This window comes from Homo sapiens, chromosome 14 (assembly GCF_000001405.40).
Source record: "Homo sapiens chromosome 14, GRCh38.p14 Primary Assembly".
Taxonomy (NCBI): Eukaryota; Metazoa; Chordata; class Mammalia; order Primates; family Hominidae; genus Homo; species Homo sapiens.
Genome location: NC_000014.9, coordinates 79,800,795 through 79,816,408, shown reverse-complemented (window position 1 = coordinate 79,816,408; position 15,614 = coordinate 79,800,795). Strand labels below are relative to the sequence as shown.

At 36.3% G+C, this 15,614-nt stretch overlaps 1 protein-coding gene across 56 annotated transcripts in view; it reads right to left on the bottom strand.

Moving 5' to 3' along the window:
* The window catches only part of NRXN3 (neurexin 3), a 1,697,919-nt gene that overhangs the window by 51,883 nt on the left and 1,630,422 nt on the right, over positions 1-15,614 (bottom strand). For 34 of the 56 annotated variants that reach the window (NR_158973.1, NR_158975.1, NR_158974.1 and 31 more), the window contains one exon: positions 11,219-11,297. Coding sequence is in view for 49 of the 56 variants with exons in the window: in XM_005268218.4 (XP_005268275.1) it covers positions 11,219-11,297 (79 nt within the window). In the remaining 7 variants the exon portion in view is untranslated. Of the gene's footprint in view, positions 1-11,209; positions 11,298-15,614 lie in introns of those variants that run through there. The other 22 variants (NR_073547.2, NR_073546.2, XM_011537363.2 and 19 more) reach the window with 1 other exon arrangement.

The window sequence follows — 15,614 nt, the reverse complement described above, 5'->3', positions numbered from 1 at the left end:
ACATTTAAACTCCATTTTATCTAAGACAGTTAAAGCCAAGGACCTCCTTGAGGCAATAGGGAAACCCGAGTCATGCTAAGCTCCACAAAGGAGCGTGTCAAAATTCGATAACTTAGTACTTTGAGAAGTGTTGAAAGAATGACTGGCACACTGTAATATAAAGAAAATGTCTATTTTCAAACAGATTTGGACTTGAATATTACCTCTACCATTTATGTGCAGGTATGTGACCTTGAACAAGCAAACTTAAAATCCCAATTTTCTCAACTGTAAGATGACCAAGCTAGTTTTTATCTCACAATAACTTAAAATGAGATTTAAATAAAATACTATGTTTTCATGTACCCAGTATAGTACCTGGGCTAGTGGTGTGCTTGAGCCAGTTTATGACAACTGATTGCAAAATTTCTAGGAAATTTGTAAGCTGGTTGTTAAAACATGGCCATTTTCAAAAGTTAATATATATATAAAGTTACAAGTATATTAAAAACAGGTAATTAAAAACTTAAAACTCGGTACTTCCTAATTATTTTACTAAATTTTACTATTATCTATGAGGTTCTTGACGTCTATAGTGTACGTATGATGAAAAAGCCATATAATTGTGTACGAGCAAGGACACTTCCCAATTCTGAGTTTAGGGCTGTCATATTGGTAGCTAGAAATCAGCCATGGTGGGAATATTTTACACCATACAGAAACTGGAAAACTGCAAATTAGAGCTCTGTGTGTGTGCTGGTTTTAAAATATTTATCAGCAAGCAGCTTTACCTGGCTCATAATCAATATCTCTTCCTTTCCTCCTTCCTTTCTTTTACATTTCCCTCCTCCTCTTTCTTCGCCTTTCTTGTTTCCCTTCCTTCTTTCATCAGAAAGTTGTTCTTAGTCCACAGAGCCATCCAGTTCCTCATCCTTGGCCTTTTTCCCCTTACCCTTAAGAAAAACCAATAGCTACCCTGGCCTGACTGAAAGATCTCATCAGAAAACCACAGGTCTGGATATGCTTTCTCTTTTTCAGATTACAAATACAGATTTTTCATCTGAAATCTTTAGGCCTATTGAATAATCTTTAATCTATTAATATATCACCTATTACTCATTTTTATACCTATTTGATATTCTCGTGCTCAACCCTTAAAGAGGGAAAGTTGTTACAAAGTGTCATTTTCATGCTGTTCGTATCCAACTAATCAAATCCTTCCAAGTAAAGCATCAAATCGCCTGGATAATCACAGGTAGAGTCCAACATTTGGATAATTAACTGGGCACTTCCTTCTACGTTTGTCTCAAATTCAGACTCTATTCTCAGAACTAAAGCTATTATGTATGTCGTGTTCTCTGGAATGGGAAAAGAATGAATTTAGGTCAAAGTTGAAGTGTTGGCTCTCTAATGCTTCCATGAATTAAAAAATAAAAAAGTAAAATGTATATCAGTTGACTCAGAAAGATCAAAAGATAATCTTACCTCAAAATATGCATGAGGTGGAACCAGTGAGTTAAAAAGTTTTTTTTTCCCATCCTCAGATGCCTTGCTGAACACATTTATATTTTAATACATAAACATAAATGCATTTTGTAATAAAACATTTGCAGATTTCCATAAAGTTCCTCCCCAATTCAGGAACAGGCACTGTTCTACACAGCAGAAATGATGCTCCCTCACTAACAATTCCCGAAAAACATCTTCCGTTGATCTGCTCCTGAAGAAAAGTTTCTGACTAGAAGACTGATAATTTATGAAAAAAACTCTTTGGAAATAAGATCTTACATGAAGTCCCTTTAACAGTAAGCCCATTTAATCATACCAAAAATAATCAACAAGGGTTTCTTATTGTCGTTGATCAGTTTGCTGTTTGAGTATAATTATCAGTAGTTTCCCACTGTAAGTTTTTCCTCCTTAAGTCAGGTAAAAAGTACAACTTATGACTTCCAGATGCAAACCAGTGATCAGCCTTATAATGTGACTGAAAGTTTGTTTTGCTTCTTTGTGAAGTTCCCTAGGGGTAAGGTTAAAAGTAGAGACAATAGGAGAGTGAGAAATAAAGGCAGAGGATTTCAAATCACATCTTACAGAGAACAGAATCACAGAACAACACCACGACAGTGGACAAGACAAGATGGCAAGACAGATGTGCCAAACAAGAGACACATGCTTGACTGCTGTGCCAAGAAAAGAAAACACAAGAACAAAACCATACAGAGATGCTGCGAGAGCAGCTCTTAGGGCTGTCATGATCCAATGGAAATAATAATAAAAACAAGGACCCATGAAATTATAACTACAAAAGAATGTAATTCCCACAACTCATACACTGGACTTGCTGGGTTAGCCTAGATGTGTCACTTGGATGAAACACAAGATGGTGTCATGCACTTGTGATGGAGGCCATGGTTAGTTGATGCGCTACAAAACTTGTCACGGCATGCCACACAATGATCCTGGGCTTGTCCAGACAGAAATAAAAGATACAACAAATATTCTATATCTGCAATAAAATTCTTTTTATGCCATCTGAAATTTGTGGAGAGGGGTGTGTTTCTCTGTCATTTCTATGTGTTTTTCTTTTATTTTTTTCTGACTCTTATCTTTTCAATTAATTACATTGTCATAAAGGGGAAAGTAAAGGCAAGTGGTCCATGCAGATATGGGGGTAAATCAAAAGGAAAGAAACGGAAATTAAAAGGAAAAATATGCATAGAAGGAGGAAGAGGAAAACACAGTATTCATTCTTTTGTACACAACTTTCTTGGATTTCGTTGGGGTTTGTTTTGTTTTGAGATAAATACTGGAGGGATATGCTGAAAGGGGAGGAATTTGAGATTAGGATGGCAAGAAAAGATTTTTTTGCCTTGTTTGATTTGTATATCTATATATCTCTCAGTATTTGAAAATAATGATTATAGTTACTCATAAAAGTATAGCAATGAGTTAAAAATAGCCATAATGATCAAAATAGTAAATATGAAAACAAAATAAATTGAACCACCAAAAATTCATGCGGCACAAGATGAGGTGAAACAACAAAATGTTCTTCAAATATATACAAGGTATATATCTATTTATATATATACACAGGAATGTGCATATACGGATAGATATATCTGTATAATTTTTTCTTTCCACCCCTCCCAAGGATAACTGAATTATGGAGTCAGCATTATAATTATGATAAAGAAATCTTAAAGAAAAATCAACATGCTTTGTTTGCCAAGTTAAAACAGTATCATGCATGTCTATGTTGGCTGATGCTGGTTAAGAATGATGGTGTGAATTTCTGTGTAAACACATGACTGATGGTAGGGGCTGTTAATCTCTGGTTACATTAGTCTAATATCACTTATACTGTGTCTACATATATATGGAGTGACAGGCAGTATATTATTTGCATATGTGCATATCATATATATATATATACACACAGTACATATACTTGGGGCTTATGGAAGAAAAATGTAGAATAAAAAGAATAAATCCCATAAAAACTTCTCTTTTAAAACCCAATCCCTCTTTATTTATTTTTGGGGGACTTGCTTAATGATGTCATTAAGCTCACTCCTTATGTACCACTTGCATTGGCATTTGGAATCAGGAAGTTCTCATGAGTTCAGATTGAAATTCTCCCTTCAACATGTCCATCCTTTACCCTATTACCTAAAAACGGTGTGGCCTTTGACCATACTGTATATGTGAAGTCCCCAAAAGAGTGTTGCTTTTTTTCTTTACTGAGCTGTACTAATTCCAAAAGAGTGTTGCTTTTTTACTTTACTGAACTGTACTAATTCTTCAATCGTAATAAATGAGAATTCTGTGTCACCAAACTAAAATACAGAAGAATGCTCCTTGGGGTTAGTTGAATCTGTCACTGCTTGGCATCATCTTGTGTGATTTTTTTTTTCTTGCATATCCCTGATAAGGTATGCTGTTCACTGAATTGGAGTGCTCCAACATCCTTAGGGTGCTGATAATATCGTGGGCATTTCCATTCATTGTCCTCATTGTTTCTTCCCTTCCTTTTATTCCTCTTATTATATCTGCCTTTCCTAATAAACTGAACTTCTGGAAGCGATATTTCTGAAGCAAAATACTTTTGTTTTCCCAGCACCTATTCTAGTGCCTACATGTAATAGTTACTCAAAAGTGTTACATATAGAAGAGATTTATCAAACTTTCAGATAGAAGTATATACACTCATACATTGATTTTATGGATTCCCCTGCCTCGCTCTCCAACCTACTAAAAAATCTTGGGTAATGGAGTTGGATAGAATTTTTTTCATTTTTTTATTATTAAATATATTTGTTATGAAATCCACAATAGTCGATCTATGGGCCACATATATTATGCACACTATTCCTCAGCCTAAAGTGCAAGAGCTAATTAGTAGATCTTTCCTATTCTTATATTTCTGTTCTTACCCTAATTTTCAAAGCATTTCACCATTAAGGATTTTAAAAGCACATAGTTACTGCAATGGTTTAAAAAATAACTTGGGTTGGGTTGGGGCTGTTATAAAAAAGTGACATAACTGGCCGGGCGCGGTGGCTCACGGCTGTAATCCCAGCACTGTGGGAGGCTGAGGTGGGTGGATCACGAGGTCAGGAGATTGAGACCATCCTGGCTAACATGGTGAAAACCCGTCTCTACTAAAAATAGAAAAAAATTAGCCGGGCGTGGTGGCGGGCGTCTGTAGTCCCAGCTACTCAGGAGACTGAGGCAGGACAATGGCGTGAACCCACGAGGCGGAGCTTGCAGTGAGCCGAGATCATGCCATTGCACTCCAGCCTGGGCGACAGAGTGACACTCCATCTCAAAAAAAAAAAAAAAAAAGAAAAAAGAAAAAAGAAAAGAAAGTGAAATAACTTGGTGGGTTAACAAAGACAAAAACTGTATCATTAATCTGGAACATTATACTCCCATGAACATACTATATTCATTTATAGATCAATGAAGGCGGTTGAAAAATGGATATGATTTAGCCTAGACCTAAGTATGTGAACAACTATTTGCTTTTGTGAGCATTAGACATGTATTGTAACTCAAATTTTAAAATGACTGATGTCCACAGCCAATAATAATGAATTAAATTAAGTAATTTTCTATCGATATACAGTTCTCTTTCCAAAGCTAAAATGCTTATCTTAGATTATTTCCATTATCTCTTTGGTCAAAGTGTTTAAGTGGATCTGAGCCTTTTATCAGAATTTATAGCATTTACAGACCATTGAATTTATAGATCTGTCATACTCCAACATTCCTATGAGATTTTACTTGGACATTTATTTTTGTACTATATTCTGAATAGCCATTGACTAATGAAATTTTAACATGATTCTATTTGCTAATGAGTTTTCATATAGAAAAATCTAAAGTGAATAAATAGTTAAATAAAATTGACTTATTTGTAATAAAAACATACAGGTTGCTAACTTCAAACTTGACAAAGACACAAATGACAAAACGTATCTCTATAAGATTTCAAACATCATATTTAAGGCCAACAATCAGCACATTTACTTGTTATCTATAAATTCTGGTATAAACTTCTCTTGATCCTTCACTGGAAAATTATTATTATCTATTAACATTTCAGCTGCATTTTCTACCATGTTCCAGCAAATAAAAAGTAAAATGATTTGGTGAGCTTTTAGTAACTCAGTGCCAGATTTTCAGATGATACTTTCCCGAGGCATCTCAGACTGATAAAGATTAAGAATCCAGTTCCACCTGGAAAATACTAGATGTGATCTTGGTGTTATGCCAAATTTAAATTTCACTCAGCTTGGGTTGTATATTATAGTAGGGCTAACAAAGAGGAACTAAGTAGCAGTAACACCGAAATGCAAATGTGAATATTGTAGATTTGAGGAGTAAAAATATACCTGAGAACCACTCTGGGAATAGCAATTATTTTGTCATCTCATATTACTGCCATTAGTTTAAACATCTCCTTCCCAACCATTATGAAAGCTGCTTAGCACAGTCTTATTGATGGATGGATGTGTTTCATCTTCACTTCCTTTTACTGTCTGCCCTCTGGTGGAAGTGCTGTCCCTTGAGATTTGATCAAAGGACATTTAAGAAAAGTGAAGGCAGAAAAACTAGCTACTTGACAAACTGAAAAATATACCCCTGGATAACGACTGGATGAATCAATGTGGTTAAGTATTGCCATGCCCACTTATTAGGTATAAAAGTATTACTTTTTTTTTTCGCTCTGCTCTGTGGCCTCCTGCCCCCAAGACTTTTAGAATCTTGAAACTATAAAAATGTAAAATCCAGGAAGTTGATCATATCTAATTATACAAAAGCTCATCCAAGAATACATTTGTTTTCACTATTACTCTATTTCCAAAGATGGGAATTCTAGGGATAGCAGCAGGGGTAAGGGAAAGAGAAGAAATGGGAAGTGAATTGTATTATTTTCTCTGAATTTCAGAATTCATTCCCACATTTTAGATTACAAATGTGAATTTACTAATGATCTTAATTGCTATTTGGCTTCCATAATCTCATGAGGGTATCCTTTTCCTAGGGGTTATTTGAATGCTCTCCAGCTCATCCGTTTTTCTTCTTGGATTCAAAGAGAAAAAGGACAATGAAATATGAATTTACTGCACAATTTAAGATTAATAGAAGTGCAGTTGGGAATGAAACAGTTTATATGCAAAGAACGAATCTAAAGTATTAGATACTGATTTGTTTTGTGAAGAACACAATTAACATTTACAAATCGAGTTAAAATCCAGACCCTCGCCTCTAGATAGCTATTCAGATACACTTCTGAATATCTTCATTTGATGCAGATGGTTTTATTATAACTTTATTGTTTAAAGGTTCAATTCTGGGTTCTTGAAGCAAATATTCAGAAAATGTGATTGTATCTGTGACTTATAAAATAATCTAGTTCCCAGAAAAAGGTAGGGATAGGAAAAAGCAGAGAATAACTTTGTTAAAAAAAAATGTAGGTTTTGGCCAGGCACAGTGGCTTATGCTTGTAATCCCAGCACTTTGGGAGACTGAAGTGGATGGATCACTTGAGCCCAGGAGTTTGAGACCAGCCTGGCCAACATGGCGAAACCCTGTCTCTACCAAAAATACAAAAGTTAGCCAGTCTTGTTACCCAGTCTCAAAATAAAGAAATAAAAATTCTAAAACAAATTTGTTAAAAATATAGATTTTGTCAGGGCAGCCCTATTATATGAAATCATAAATTTTAAATGAGTCAATAGGTTTAATTTTAGCTGTTAAAGGGGAAATGAAGTTAGAGATATAAAGTTCTGTTTCAAACTAATTTAGTCGACAAATCCTAATTGAGCTTTTACTTTATGCCTTGCTCTCATGATTTGGGATTTCTTTAAATTTCTCTACATATTTACCAGCAAAAATATACCGTGAAAACTTGACTTCCATTGGATTTGCAAGGTTTCTAGACTCCTATTGACCAAACTCCAAAAATATTTACCTTGTTCCTAAATATAATAAGATTAAGCTATACCAAACCGTGGTGACCCTTAAGCACAAAAGTAAGTTCTGAGAGTGAAAGGCGATTGCTTATAACTAACTCAAAACCAGCAGTTTAAAAATCCAATGTGATTTGAAGAAAAAATAAATTATTTCATTTAAAATTTGATGCTCATATGAAAATAAAAATTGAATTATAGCACACACTAAACTACCCAAATTTATGAAAAGTGAGAGCTTCAAATGGATGTAAATTAATCAGGAAATAACCTGTAGAAGTTAAATGCCTCATAAACGGAGACAGCTAGAAAATAATAAACTCGCTGGCAAAGTGAAAGAAGATAAAGTAGTAAGTATGATAGAACAAGGCCAAGGAAGTTAGCCAAATTTAGTGTATTTCCATCAAGCAAAAGGCCTGGAAAAATGTTTTAGAAATGGAGGCAGTGAATTAGGGTGTTCAAAACCAGAATTTTAATCTTAGTGGTAATGTAGAATTGCAAGATTGGCAATTTATGTCAAAGATGTGTAAATGTCACCATTATCTGTTGCTGCATGGGCAGTAGGTCCCTTCTCTTTAGGCAGTGCAAATCTTGCCCAAGAAACTGATTTCTGATTTTAATCTGTATTGTTTTTGGAAAATGTGAAGCCTGAGATACATACATACATACATACATATATATATATATATATATTTTTTTTTTTTTTTTAATTGAGAGAGAGTCTCACTCTGTTGCCCAAGCTGGAGAGCAGTGGCATGATCTTGGCTCCCTGCAACCTCTGCCTCCCGGGTTCAAGCACTTCTCTACCTCAGCCTCCCGAGTAGCTGGGACTACAGGCGCCTGCCACCACGCCTGGCTAATTTTTTGTATTATTAGTAGAGACGGGGTTTCACCCTCTTGGCCAGGCTGGTCTTGAACTTCTGAGGAGATATTTCTTATGTAATGAAAAAGAGGGCTTGATAGCTCTAAGCAGGTAATCCCCATTAGTGGAAATCAGGTCCTCTGGGCAAACCTCTTCTCTCTCTGCATTACTAGGAATATCTACCTACTTCTTGTATTAAATATACCACTGACGTATTTCCCTGTATATCCAAATCACTCACCAGGAATACTTTATGGAGTAAATAAAATTAGAAAAATGCAATGCTCATTCTTCAAATGTGATGAGTTGAATAATCACAGGTGGAGGAAATCAATATCAGCCTCCTAGAGCTACATGTTCACTCTTTAAAGGTAGGGGTTCTGTCACTCACTTTATCTCCTCTCATGCTCCCTTACAGAACACAACAGATTGTTCTAAAAACTGTATCTCCCCACCCACCCCATGTTATTCAAGAAATGTTGGTGTTGAATTTCTGTCCTCTGCTTCTGAATCAGAGAAAATACCTGCGTGGCCTCTAGAAAACAAATGGATTTAGTTTGGGGCCATTCAGGTTTACGCTATTCAAGTCTCATAACAAATAGCAATATATACCCATAAACTGGGGAGCTACAGAGCTAGAGAATCTGAAGCTGAGATCTGGAAAAGCCCACTGCCTTATTATGAATGTTGCTGTGGAGATGACTTTCTGAGGCAGGGTGAGTAGTTGAGGAAAGATGGTGATAATATTTCAGAATGACCAAGCCTCAATTTTGATAAGCCTTAAAATCTACAGATTTGATAAACATTGCTGCATATAGAGATATCACTGCTAAGAAAGGAAGAAAAACATTTGGGAGGTCAAAGCGAGAGGATTTCTTGAGGCCTGGAACTCGAGACCAGCCTGAGCAACATGGTGAGAACCGCATTTGTACACAAAATAAAACAAATTAGCTGGCATAGTGGTGCATGTAGTTCTAGCTACTTGGGAAGCTCAGGCAGGAGGACCACTTGAGCCCGGGAGTTTAAGGCTGCAGCGAGCTATAAACACGCCACTGCACTCCAGCCTAGGTGACAGAGTGAGACCCTATCTCAAAAAAAAAAAAAAAAAAAAAAAAAAAAAAAAATATATATATATATATATATATATAAAATTAAAGCCTAGATTTCTTAAAGGGTTTGCCACAAAACAAGCTAATTTAATGTACGTATTGAGGATTGTGACCTATTAATATATGAACCCTTAATATCTAGCACATGCTTAACATATACAGTTGACTCTCAAAAATATCTGTTGAATTGAATTACGCGAGGAGTTAGATAGCAAAACTATTCTATTCTCTGACAGCTAATTTCTTAAAAAAAAAAAACAGAATAGGAAGGACTCAAATCTAGAGATATATTGTATCCTGCCTGAGTGCTCAAAAATATTTATTGAATGAATGAATGAATAAATTAATGAAAACATGGCACCCAAGTTCTGGTATAGTTCGGATGTATCTGCCCTTTTAGGGTTAAAACCTCACATAGCACATACAGATTATTACCTAAAAATATGAAAAAGAAAGCCCTGACCAGATCACATTTACTTTCCCTCCACACAGCTGAGCTCCCAATGGAACAGATTACACTCCAGAATGGAAGCCCTATCATATTAATGATGTGTCCCTGTGTCATACTAAGGGTATGAACCCACAGAACTTCCTGGATCCAATTCCACTTGCAAGAAACCAAAGCAGTCAGGCTTCAACAGATTTGAAATCTTGTAAATCATTTAGGGGTCAGAAATGGAAGGTTTTTATTTTTATTAGATTATTTTTTCATGAAGCTTAAATTTTCTAGAATTAGCAAAAGAGAATTTTTAATGGCTTTCCTTTTCTTAAAAGGAAAAAAATCTGAAAGCAATGCAAAAAATAACTAGAAAATTCTATTTATTTTAGTCTTCACAGAAATAAGATCCTGGCCCAACTCCAGCTATTAATTCTATTAAACATACACAGAAATTCGATGATATCTGTTCTCTATTATATACATATAAACGTTTAACTTATAGTAAGTCTCAAAACAGACAACTGGGAAAAGTTGATAGGAAATAATCAGGGACTGCAATTGCCTGCTGGACATTAGGTCATATGTAGCTCACTATAAAGAAAGACCATAAAACATCAAAATGTATCTGGGTCCAAATGGGGAACACATTGAAGCTTCTGATTGCTAAAGTCTTCTCAACTTCAGCACAGTAGATACATTTTGAAGCATCACAGCTGTTGACACGGCATGGTACAGCACTAATTTTGTGTTTACTATATTGTTGCACAAGTTTTCTAGACACACAGTTAACAAAATTAGTACAAAGATAATACCATGTTAACTGCTGTTGAAATCCCATGGAAAATATATATATACATATATTTTTGGTTCTCTTAGCTCAGAATAATTCATGAGTTTTAAGTCATTTACCAATCTTTATGGCTCCACTTACCAATCTTTAAGCTCCTCCATGGGTTCATCCTTTCTTGATGTCATTCCAACATATATTTCCTCATGTTCCCACCCTCTGTGAATTTCATAGCTGCCACTGGCTCCTACACATTTGCTGCTCCAGTGGTAAGTCTGGGCATCTGCTTGCCCAATGTTAAGTCATATACCATGATTTTTTGTTAGCTATCAAGAGACTGACTTAATTTTTGTAGGATCTTATTGCTCTTTCCATGGGATTTGATGCTTTCATTGATATAATATTTATATATGTATACTTATACATATATAGATATAAAAATATACACACATTAACACACTATAATCTATATATAAAACACATGTATAATCACATATATGTATGTATTGTTTTTTGCAAAAGAAAAAAGAAAGCAAGCAAAATAAGACTGACCTGACCTACCTGTACTCGGCTCACATTCAACAAAGTCTTCATCATCACTTGAACATTCAGCAGATGAAACAAGATCATCTGATGTTGGCTGTTTATGTCAAAGAGAAAATAATGGGGTAGGGGAAGAGAGAGAAGAGAGAGAGATAAGGAAACTAATGAACAAAGACATCAAAGATTTATCACTGTGTCCCATCTCCCATCATTACGATTATTTTTCTAGAGAGGGCATACCGTAGGATGAAGAATTCTTAACTACTGTGTGACTGAGAATGACTCTGGGTCTAGACCGTCTTAGGGGGGTCTTCCGTAGAGCTGAGTGACCCAAGATGGTTCCAGGAGACTTAAGCCTCACCCATCCCCATAAATGACATTTTGTAGCCTTACTTCATTCTGGTTTTGAGTTTTAGGAATCAGAAGGACAGGAGAAGGGCTGTTGTAAAGGATGGGCAATGTAAGAGTGCAAAGCAACACAGACATACATTGTGGCTTTGAGAGAGTTTCAATCCTTATGGTGTGTGGTCTCAAGTGTATGCCGTGGTAGTTGTGCATCTACAGGCTGGCATAATTAATGAATGCTGTGGAATGCATTCTCTTTAGGAACTGCATAATGGCTTTTATCATTAGCAAGAATTCCTTCATGTAATTGCTGCAATAGCTGAATTGGTAATGTAGACCAGTAGCATGATACCACACAATAGTCCCTGAACACAGGTAAGGCTGTTCCTGAAGAGAGCAAAAACAGTTCTGACTGCAATAATAGTAGTTCGACTTGAGGCACCTTTTAAATTCTGAGTCTCGCAGAAACTCCCCAGTCCCAGGGAATCTATTACAAGAAATATAGGAGACTGAGTATCAGCTGTGAGAAGAGCCCTCCATACAGTAGGTGAGATGACTGCTTTCTGTATTTGGTACATATTGCATGCACAATAAATATTGAATGAATGAATCTACAGATCTTATGCAAAAAACAAAACTTTTGGCCTACTATGTGCATAAGAAGACTCAATATATTATAGTTCAATAATGCTCATTTATTTCCCCTTCTTCATGTGACCAATATTTACTGACTTGTTGATCTTCCAATTCCCAAATGTACTAAAGTCTGGATCCAAATTCAAGAGGAAGAGGTAATAAACCACTCCCCTTCTATTGAGCAATTACTACAAGCCAGATGCTGTCCTAGACATACATATACATACATACATACATATATATATACACATACATACATACATATATATGTATATATATATACATATATATATACACACACATATATATATATACATATATATATATACACACACACTTTTTAGTTACAGTTATTAATTAGACGTGATTCTCACAACCGTCTTTTGGGACAGGGATGACTATTACATGACTAATTAGAATTGCAGTTAGGTTAAGTGAGCTGCTGAAAGACATACAGCTAGTAAAACACATAGTGGGAATTTGAATAAATACATCTTAGTCAAATTCTGTGTTTGTGGCTTGCAATAGGCTTCTTTATACCTGGTCTTACATTATGGACAGAATTATGTCCCCTCAAAATTCATATGTTGAAGTCCTACTCCCCAGCCCCTCAGAATGTGACTGTATTTGATACAAAGCCTTAAAGAGGTAATGAAGTTAAAATGAAGCATTAGGATGAGCCCTAATCCAATATGACTTGTGTCCCTCTAAAAAGAGGACAGTAGGACGCAGACATACCCAGTGGGAGGAAGGCCATATAAAGACGCTGGCAGATAGTCATCTGCAAGCCAAGGGGAGAGTTCTCAGAAGACACTAATTCTGCTGACACCTTGATTTCAGGCTTCTAGCCTCCAGAATTTCGAGGAAATAAATTTCTATTGTCTAAGCCACCTGGTCTGGGATATTTTGTTATGACAACCCTAATAAATGAATATATATGACAGCCTTTCTACTTAGGAGTTCCAGAAAACATCCTTTTTTTAAATAGACATCCTAGGTATGGAATTACTGGACACAGCAAAGAACTGGAAAAACCACATTAGATAATTCATTGATTTAATTAACAATGGCAGAGAAGTGCCCTACACAACAATATTGATCTTTATTCTACATCTGAAAGGGGTATAATTCAAACCTTGCTCCTCAAGGCTAGCAGAAAAAAAGAATTTTTATTTTTTTAATTTTATTAAAGTTCCAGGATACATGTGCAAAACGTGCAGGTTTGTTACATAGGTAAATGGGTGCGATGGTGGTTTGCTGCGCCTATCAGCCCATCACCTAGGTATTAAGCCCCGCGTGTATCAGCTGTTTATCCTGATGCTCTCCTTCTCCACACCGAAAAAAGAATTTTTAAACATACTTAAAAAAAACACACACTACTGAATTGTTCATTTCAGTTCCAGCAACTGAAACTGGTAGTTACATCCTGGGGGGCTGTTATTTGTGTTAGAGACATGGTAAGCATATTCCCTTGGTGTTTCCTGCTGAGAGGGGGCCCTATAATAGCTCTACTTCTAGTTACTTAGGGAAAGGAGCTGGTAAGTGGGAAAAGAGTTAACTGTTGAAATAAATACGGCAATTATAAGAGGAAAACACTATTTTGGAAGGACCACAATCATTGTTTAGTAGTTTTTAAGCATGCATTCTTTATAGGGGCAATGTCTCCCACCAAAGGCAGGAAAGTTTGGTTTGGGCTGAGGGACAATCTTAAATATTACAATGGTTTGTGACCCTCCAAAAGGCCACAGTTACATAAATGAATATGTAGTATATCTTTGGAATTGAAATGTTGTGGGAAAAGGGCAATTAGGGGGAAAACTTATCTGAAAAAACTCCTTAGGATGGTGGTAATAAAGAGGCTGAGAATACACTGCTGAAGTGTGTTCAACTGGAAATTATTAATGATTTGACTGTAAGGGCCTTGCAGAATGGCCCGGTAGGACTTTGGTCCCTAGTATTGAGTGAAAGCTGGTGAGTTAATGAAAATCTAATGAGCTCCTTTCAAGAACTGAAAGCCTGGCAATAAAGTTTAAAGGCCATTGAACAAATGTTTAAAAAACAATGCATAACTTCAGTAGAAACCAAAACATACATTAACATAATATTAGTTGAATCTTTAACTCAGAGGAGACTTCTTCATTTGCATGGGCCAAAAGAAGAAATGTAATTTTTTTTTTTTTTTTCAGAAAAAGGAGTAGACTCTGAGGTTGAAAAGATACTGTCTTCCTCTCAGCTTCCTTGGCTTCCTCTCATACTACTAAGTTTCTCTCCCCTGTGGTTTAGGTGACACCATCCCCAGCCCCACTCTCCCACCCCTTCTCTACCTCCAATTCCATCCCATGAATGGGCCCCTAATCCCCATTGCAGACCCCACACATCATCTTTCACCTTCTGACCCCCTTTTTCCACCTTTAACCCTCTCTGCGCTCCACTTTGCCCAAAGATTTGTTTTCTGTTGATCTTCTATATGAGTACATGTGAATACAGTGTTCTTCCCAGGCAACAGAACCACATTTTACCAGTAGCTCCTAGCAATGGTGCCCAGACTCAAAGGAGTTTGAAGGGGAAATGATCCAGCAGTGTGTCGTAAGAATGGGCCTGGCCCTAGACATAGCACAACTGTGAATCCCAACTCCTCTACGTAGATTCAGAAAGTGACCTGGGATGTGTGTGTGTGCGTGCACACACGTCACTTAGTTACTTCACTATTAATCAACATCATAGTTTAACTTCACAATTAATCAACATCAGCCTCTCAATCAAAGTAATTCCAAGCCTGATAGCCACTCCTAATTTAAATAAATTTGGTATCTGCCTATGTGCTCTATTTGTTACGATTTACCCCACATTAGAAGTGTTCTTTGTTGCTGACAATTCATTACTTCCATTTTATGGTACACATACTATTTCTGGTTGCACCTGCCATGAGGAGTGATAAAGAAAAATGTACTCATAAAGAGCTTAAACAATCATTCAAAGGTGATCTGTTCTCAGTGGCTGTGAATCTAGACAATCTGTGTGGGTCTTATATGAATTCAGTTCCTTCCTTTGTGTCTTTCAGACCTCATCGTTACCACTTAGAGGTACAGCCAACTGAAACTCCCAAAGCAGTTACAAACATCTCAGTCCCTCTTTGCCTGTTTTGGTAACCAATGTTTTCCTCAAGAACCTGGCATGCAACATTGGCCACACCTGCCACAGAACACTGTGTAGTATGGAAAGACTTCCTCTGCCAGAGGCCTTAATTTGCAAAAAGGCTTAGAATTAGGAATGCTACACTTAGACTTTTTTGAAACTACTTTTGTCCCTAACATCTAGAAAATCCAAACATTACAAACCAAGGCTTTTGGATGATATGAGCGGCTTAAGATCATATCCTAAATTAATGGCAATTGGATTCAAAGATACTTTCAGAAAACCCAGGGCTTTCTTT